We start from the raw sequence: 8,964 nt of genomic DNA on the forward strand, positions 1-8,964 counted from the left end.
TTGATATGAAGGAAAAAATGTTAAGGGCAGCCAGAGAGAAAGGTCGGGTTACCCTCAAAGGGAAACCCATCAGACTAACAGCGGATCTCTCGGCAGAAACCCTACAAGCCAGAAGAGAGTGGGGGCCAATATTCAACATTCTTAAAGAAAAGAATTTTCAACCCAGAATTTCATATCCAGCCAAACTAAGCTTCATAAGTGAAGGAGAAATAAAATACTTCACAGACAAGCAAATGCTGAGAGATTTTGTCACCACCAGGCCTGACCTAAAAGAGCTCCTGAAGGAAGCGCTAAACATGGAAAGGAACAACCGGTACCAGCCACTGCAAAATCATGCCAAAATGTAAAGACCATCGAGACTAGGAAGAAACTGCATCAACTAAAGAGCAAAATCACCAGCTAACATCACAATGACAGAATCAAATTCACACATAACAATGTTAACTTTAAGTGTAAATGGACTAAATGTTCCAATTAAAAGACACAGACTGGCAAATTGGATAAAGAGTCAAGACCCATCAGTGTGCTGTATTCAGGAAACCCATCTCACGTGCAGAGACACACATACGCTCAAAATAAAAGGATGGAGGAAGATCTACCAAGCCAATGGAAAACAAAAAAAGGCAGGGTTTGCAATCCTAGTCTCTGATAAAACAGACTTTCAACCAACAAAGATCAAAAGAGACAAAGAAGGCCACTACATAATGGTAAAGGGATCAATTCAACAAGAAGAGCTAACTATCCTAAATATATATGCACCCAATACAGGAGCACCAAGATTCATAAAGCAAGTCCTGAGTGACCTACAAAGAGACTTAGACTCCCACACATTAATAATGGGAGACTTTAACACCCCACTGTCAACATTAGACAGATCAACGAGACAGAAAGTCAACAAGGATACCCAGGAATTGAACTCAGCTCTGCACCAAGTGGACCTAATAGACATCTACAGAACTCTCCACCCCAAATCAACAGAATATACATTTTATTCAGCACCACACCACACCTATTCCAAAATTGACCACATACTTGGAAGTAAAGCTCTCCTCAGCAAATGTAAAAGAACAGAAATTACAATAAACTATCTCTCAGACCACCGTGCAATCAAACTAGAACTCAGGATTAAGAATCTCACTCAAAACCACTCAACTACATGGAAACTGAACAACCTGCTCCTGAATGACTACTGGGTACATAACAAAATGAAGGCAGAAATAAAGATGTTCTTTGAAACCAACGAGAACAAAGACACAACATACCAGAATCTCTGGGATGCATTCAAAGCAGTGTGTAGAGGGAAATTTATAGCACTAAATGCCCACAAGAGAAAGCAGGAAAGATCCAAAATTGACACCCTAACATCACATTAAAAGAACTAGAAAAGCAAGAGCAAACACATTCAAAAGCTAGCAGAAGGCAAGAAATAACTAAAATCAGAGCAGAACTGAAGGAAATAGAGACACAAAAAACCCTTCAAAAAATCAATGAATCCAGGAGCTGGTTTTTTGAAAGGATCAACAAAATTGAGAGACCGCTAGCAAGACTAATAAAGAAAAAAAGAGAGAAGAATCAAATAGACACAATAAAAAATGATAAAGGGGATATCACCACCAATCCCACAGAAATACAAACTACCATCAGAGAATACTACAAACACCTCTACGCAAATAAACTAGAAAATCTAGAAGAAATGGATAAATTCCTCGACACATACACTCTCCCAAGACTAAACCAGGAAGAAGTTGAATCTCTGAGTAGACCAATAACAGGAGCTGAAATTGTGGCAATAATCAATAGTTTACCAACCAAAAAGAGTCCAGGACCAGATGGATTCACAGCTGAATTCTACCAGAGGTACAAGGAGGAACTGGTACCATTCCTTCTGAAACTATTCCAATCAATAGAAAAAGAGGGAATCCTTCCTAACTCATTTTATGAGGCCAGCATCATTCTGATACCAAAGCCGGGCAGAGACACAACCAAAAAAGAGAATTTTAGACCAATATCCTTGATGAACATTGATGCAAAAATCCTCAATAAAATACGGCAAAATGAATCCAGCAGCACATCAAAAAGCTTATCCACCATGATCAAGTGGGCTTCATCCCTGGGATGCAAGGCTGGTTCAATATATGCAAATCAATAAATGTAATCCAGCATATAAACAGAGCCAAAGACAAAAACCACATGATTATCTCAATAGATGCAGAAAAAGCCTTTGACAAAATTCAACAACCCTTCATGAGAAAAACTCTCAATAAATTAGATATTGATGGGACATATTTCAAAATAATAACAGCTATCTATGACAAACCCACGGCCAATATCATACTGAATGGGCAAAAACTGGAAGCATTCCCTTTGAAAACTGGCACAAGACAGGGATGCCCTCTCTCACCACTCCTATTCAACATAGTGTTGGAAGATCTGGCCAGGGCAATTAGGCAGGAGAAGGAAATAAAGGGTATTCGATTAGGAAAAGAGGAAGTCAAATTGTCCCTGTTTGCAGATGACATGATTGTATATCTAGAAAACCCCATTGTCTCAGCCCAAAATCTCCTTAAGCTGATAAGCAACTTCAGCAAAGTCTCAGGATACAAAATCAATGTACAAAAATCACAAGCATTCTTATACACCAACAACAAACAAACAGAGAGCCAAATCATGAGTGAACTCCCATTCACAATTGCTTCAAAGAGAATAAAATATCTAGGAATCCAACTTACAAGGGATGTGAAGGACCTCTTCAAGGAGAACTACAAACCACTGCTCAAGGAAATAAAAGAGGATACAAACAAATGGAAGAACATTCCATGCTCATGGGTAGGAAGAATCAATATCCTGAAAATGGCCATACTGCCCAAGGTAATTTACAGATTCAATGCCATCCCCATAAAGCTACCAATGACTTTCTTCACAGAATTGGAAAAAACTACTTTAAAGTTCATATGGAACCAAAAAAGAGCCCACATCACCAAGTCAATCCTAAGCCAAAAGAACAAAGCTGGAGGCATCACACTACCTGACTTCAAACTATACTACAAGGCTACAGTAACCAAAACAGCATGGTACTGGTACCAAAACAGAGATATAGATCAATGGAACAGAACAGAGCCCTCAGAAATAACGCCGCATATCTACAACTATCTGATCTTTGACAAACCTGAGAAAAACAAGCAATGGGGAAAGGATTCCCTATTTAATAAATGGTGCTGGGAAAACTGGCTAGCCATATGGAGAAAGCTGAAACCGGATCCCTTCCTTACACCTTATACAAAAATCAATTCAAGATGGATTAAAGATTTAAACGTTAGACCTAAAACCATAAAAACCCTGGAAGAAAACCTAGGCATTACCATTCAGGACATAGGCATGGGCAAGGACTTCATGTCCAAAACACCAAAAGCAATGGTAACAAAAGCCAAAATTGACAAATGGGATCTAATTAAACTAAAGAGCTTCTGCACAGCAAAAGAAACTACCATCAGAGTGAACAGGCAACCTACAAAATGGGAGAAAATTTTCGCAACCTACTCATCTGACAAAGGGCTAATATCCAGAATCTACAATGAACTCCAACAAATTTACAAGAACAAAACAAACAACCCCATCAAAAAGTGGGCGAAGGACATGAACAGACACTTCTCAAAGAAGACATTTATGCAGCCAAAAAACACACGAAAAAATGCTCATCACTGGCCATCAGAGAAATGCAAATCAAAACCACAATGAGATACCATCTCACACCAGTTAGAATGGCAGTCATTAAAAAGTCAGGAAACAACAGGTGCTGGAGAGGATGTGGAGAAATAGGAACACTTTTACACTGTTGGTGGGACTGTAAACTAGTTCAACCATTGTGGAAGTCAGTGTGGCGATTCCTCAGGGATCTAGAATTAGAAATACCATTTGAGCCAGCCATCCCATTACTGGGTATATACCCAAAGGACTATAAATCATGCTGCTATAAAGACACATGCACACGTATGTTTATTGTGGCATTATTCACAATAGCAAAGACTTGGAACCAACCCAAATGTCCAACAATGATAGACTGGATTAAGAAAATGTGGCACATATACACCATGGAATACTATGCAGCCATAAAAAATGATGAGTTCATGTCCTTTGTAGGGACATGGATGAAATTGGAAATCATCATTCTCAGTAAACTATCGCAAGAACAAAAAACCAAACACCGCATATTCTCACTCATAGGTGGGAATTGAACAGTGAGATCACATGGACACAGGAAGGGGAATATCACACTCTGGGGACTGCAGTGGGGTCGGGGGAGGGGGGAGGGATAGCATTGGGAGATATACGTAATGCTAGATGACGAGTTAGTGGGTGCAGCGCACCAGCATGGCACATGTATACATATGTAACTAACCTGCACAATGTGCACATGTACCCTAAAACTTAAAGTATAATAAAAAATAAAATAAAATAAAAAATAATAAATAAATAAATAAATATGCAAAGCAGTATTGAGTCAATATGAATATGATGATATTGTTAAATATTTAATATTTATGCAAGACTGGATTCAGGGAAAGCAAAATATCAAAAATGAAAGATAGTCTTAAGACCCAAACAAAGCTGAATCCAATACCAAGAGAACTACTGGATGGTAAATTGAAATAGTGAAAAAGAAGAAAACAGGACAGAGGTTCTAAGTGTGAGTTACAGAGTCATCTTCTGATTATAATGTTCTCTCAAAAGGGTATTAGCTTCCTAGCAAGCTTTATCTACCCTGAGCCTAGATTAAGATGCATGCCCTGTGATGGTGTTCCTCTACCATGGAGATTTTGCTCAGTATATTGGGTGTATACTAGCAGAAGACAGTGCTTACTTGATTAGACAAAAAAGGGAAAAACACTGATTGTTTAAAGCTCTTGTAGTAGATGCATTAGGGCTTTTTGAGGGAAATATTCTAAAACCATAAGAAAATGCCTTATTTTATATCTCTCTTGCATTTAATAAAGGTAAGAAAATTTGAAGCTCTTAAGACATTACTTACAAATTAGAAACCTGTGAATATCTAACAATATGATTGAGAATACACAACAGCAACTTCTACCTAGCTATTGAACTTAGCCCAGAATAACAGAGTCCCTAGTCTTCAGTCTTATTATTTCACTGAAAGAAATATTGAGGAAACATTGAGGGATCAATATACTAAAAGAAATAAACAATAAGATGGGGAAAATTAGCCAGTTGCACTTTGGCAAAGTTTAATCTCCATTAGCCCTAATATTACACCTGAATCAAGGAGTAAGTAATTGTATAGAGAATGGCACACATTTAGTTTTTGCTCTTGATAGCCCTGTTTACACCAGTTGTATCAACGTAATTATTAACTGCCCCCGCTGTGCTTCTCAAGTATCTTGGTTTAGATAATAAACTATGTAGTAACCCCAGCTTTGTTTCAATTACCAATAGACAGAATATTATCTTCATGAAATTAAAACATTCAGGTAAAGTGTTCACCACAAACACAGCGCAGTGATTAAAGAACTGGGACTCTGGGGTTTCTCTAGCCACTTACTATCCTGAAACAATGGCCACATACTTTACCTCTTTGTCGATCAGCTTTTTCATTTTTTAAGTGGAGATAATATACCTCCCTACTTCACAGGTTGTCCTAAGGATTATATTAATTATATATGTAATATACTTAAAAGAGAAGCATAGCAAGAGATTTGCCTGAAGCATAGCAAGAGATTTGTGTTTGTCATATTATGATTATACTGGGTTAAGTCACAGGAAGTTAACTGATTAAGCACTTTTAAAAATCTGGTGAGGTGAAAAATAAGAGAGTAACAGATTGAGAAACGAATGCGTACTGTGGAAATAGAGTCAAAGAATGTAGATCTGAAGGAAATGAAAAAGGAGAGAATATTGTGTCATGGCGAGGATATTCAGCAATTTTTGTCTTGACTTTTATCCATGTTGTATAACTTGTTCTAATCTGAGTAGCTAACTGAACGCAGGAAGACATAGTTTTTATATTTTTCAGCAGTTCATTTATTATAATCAAAACTGTCTTGCACTGTGATAAAAGGGCACTGAAAAATAATCATATTATACTACACAGCACTATCCAGGGAGTAGATATAAGATTTAGATAATGAAGCTTAGAAGAGATATGTAAAATTATAAACGTGGATGCCTTAGGGTCAAAAGATGGTTTTCTCTTAAAATGAATAACCAACAATTAAAAAGCAGTCAAAAAGCAAATAAATATACATCTTAGAGGGAATTGAAATGTTTTGTTTGGAACCTGATGTATGTTTTATTTTAGGGTTTTACAATTCCCAAATTTTAAAACAGAGATGAAACTAAAGCGAATTATTTTAATGTAGCTTATGAGTTGCAGAAAAACATTTGGCAGCATAAAAAACAGTCATATTTCAAAAAATAATGCAATCCAATAAAAAGGCACAACTCAGAATGAGTTAAAATGTTTAATACACTATAAATTAATTACTATAGAAGATTAATAAAGAAAAGTTATTCTATAGTTCGTTGACTAAAATTTATAAAATAATCTTATTTGGCCATTTTGTATAAATAGATCAAGGGAGCTCAACGTACTAAAACATGTACATATATGTTATTTATATTCTCACTATAAACTTCTGCAGATCAACAAGTAAAACCTATGATGTTGGATAAATGAAACATGCATGAGAGTGTTCATCATTAGCTGCTTTTTTTATTGAATGCTGCAGTTCAAATTTCTCTGACATTTACATGTAGTTTTGGAAAAATGCAGAAGTCAGTAATGAGAAAACACACAGCAATAACAACATTCATCCTTCTGGGACTGACAGAAGATCCTCAGCTGCAGGTTCTGCTTTTCATGTTTCTATTTATCACCTACATGTTGAGTGTAACAGGGAAACTGACCATTATCGCCCTCACCATGTTGGATCCCCACCTGAAAACACCCATGTATTTTTTTCTCCAAAATTTATCTTTCTTAGAAATCTCATTTACAGCTACCTGTGTTCCAAGATTCTTATACAGTATCTCAACTGGGAACAAAATAATAACGTATAATGCATGTGTCATTCAGCTATTTTTTGCAGACCTCTTTGGGGTAACTGAATTTTTTCTTTTGGCTACCATGTCATATGATCGCTATGTGGCCATCTGCAAACCCTTGCATTATATGGCAATCATGAGCAACAAAGTGTGCAAAACAATGGTTATTTGTTGTTGGATGGCAGCACTTATGATTATCCTCCCACCACTTAGCTTAGGTTTTCATCTAGAATTCTGTGACTCTAATGTCATCAATCATTTTGGCTGTGATGCATTGCCTATTCTGAAAATACCATGCTCAGACACATCATTAATTGAGCAGATGGTTGTAGCCTCTGCTGTATTAACCTTTATTATCACTCTTGTATGTGTAGTTCTGTCCTACACATATATCATAAGAACAATTCTAAAATTCCCTTCTGTTCAACAAAAGAAAAAAGCCTTTTCTACCTGTTCTTCACATATTACTGTGGTTTCCATCACTTATGGCAGCTGCATCTTCATCTATATCAAGCCATCTGCAAAAGAAGAGGTAAACATTAATAAAGGTGTGTCAGTGCTTATTTCATCCATATCACCTATGTTGAATTCTTTCATATATACTCTTAGGAATGAGCAAGTTAAACAAGCCTTTCATGACTCACTCAAAAAAATTGCATTTCGTTTAAAAAAGTAAAGTGTACCTAAGTTGATAAATCAATATAAAAGATCTGCTTCATATTTTTCATAAAGCCAATAACCAACTTTGTAATTTCTTAGTCTATAGAGCAATCAAGTTGACTGCATAGCCATTTAATCATTAATTTTTTATTAATTTACGTACTGAGAAATTAATTATTGAATAATATTCTATGATAGACAAAATATATCACTTTTAATCCTTAACCAGATTAAACCACTCTTTTTTCCTTCTTTCCAGTTGATTTTCTCTGATAATTTTAAAATATGGGTGTGAAGTTATTTTTTTCCCAACTTCTATGAGTAGTCATTCTTTTTTTTTTTTTTTTTTTCTCCCCTGGAGATAGATTCCCACTCTGTTGTCCAGGCTGGAGTGCGATGGTGCCATCTTGGCTCACTGCAACCTCCAACTTCCAGGTTCAAGCAATTCTCATGATTCAGCCTCCCAAGTAACTGGAACTAAGAGCATGCGCCACCACGCCCACCTAATTTTTGTATTTTTAGTATAGACAGGGTTGCACCATGTTGGCCAGGCTAATCTCAAACTCCTGGTCTCAAGTGATCCACCCACCTCGGCCTCCCAAAGGTGCTGGGATTACAGGCGTGAGCCACTGCACCTGGTCTATGAGAATTCACTCTTAATCAAGATACAAATTCCTTGCCTCACTGAAAAAAAGTCAGATTTAAGTAACAAACTTTAAAATATCTACAGCAAAAAGAGAAAATTTCATGAAAAATATTAAAGAGAAAACATAAGTAAAAGAATAGCTTTATGGTACAGTTAACATGAAAGGCTTAATATAATAAATATGTAGGAAGTTTCTATGAATCAAAAAAGGCAACAAATTTACTATAAATACCAAGAAAATATTAGATATTTATTTTACTAAAAAATAAAATTACCTATAGCAATAGGAAGGGATGCACAACTTCATTATTAGCCACAGATTTAAACATTAAAGTCATGATATACATTTCACCCATCATATTTGCACAAACTAAATTTTTCGTATGTTCAATATTAGCCAGTATGCTAACACTTAAAGTAAAACATACACCTCAATGCACAATTTACTTGAAAACATTGGAATTTATATTTACTAACAGTACATATAAGATTTCATCTAGAAATCAACATCTAGGGATTTATGCCAGAATCTACTTGCCAATTATTATACTCATTGCAGTCATTTTGTAATAGTAAAAGATTGAAAATAACCAAATGAACAT

At 36.0% G+C, this 8,964-nt stretch overlaps 1 protein-coding gene across 1 annotated transcript; it reads left to right on the forward strand.

The window, feature by feature from the left end:
- OR6C68 (olfactory receptor family 6 subfamily C member 68) lies at positions 6,794-7,732 on the forward strand. The gene has a single exon (NM_001005519.2). It carries the CDS (start codon positions 6,794-6,796, stop codon positions 7,730-7,732), a length of 939 nt encoding a protein of 312 aa, NP_001005519.2.

Source organism: Homo sapiens, chromosome 12, assembly GCF_000001405.40.
Source record: "Homo sapiens chromosome 12, GRCh38.p14 Primary Assembly".
Lineage (NCBI taxonomy): Eukaryota > Metazoa > Chordata > Mammalia > Primates > Hominidae > Homo > Homo sapiens.

Bases quoted from the DNA above. Each gene is read 5' to 3' on its own strand.
- OR6C68 (NM_001005519.2), top strand. From the start codon at position 6,794: ATGAGAAAACACACAGCAATAACAACATTCATCCTTCTGGGACTGACA.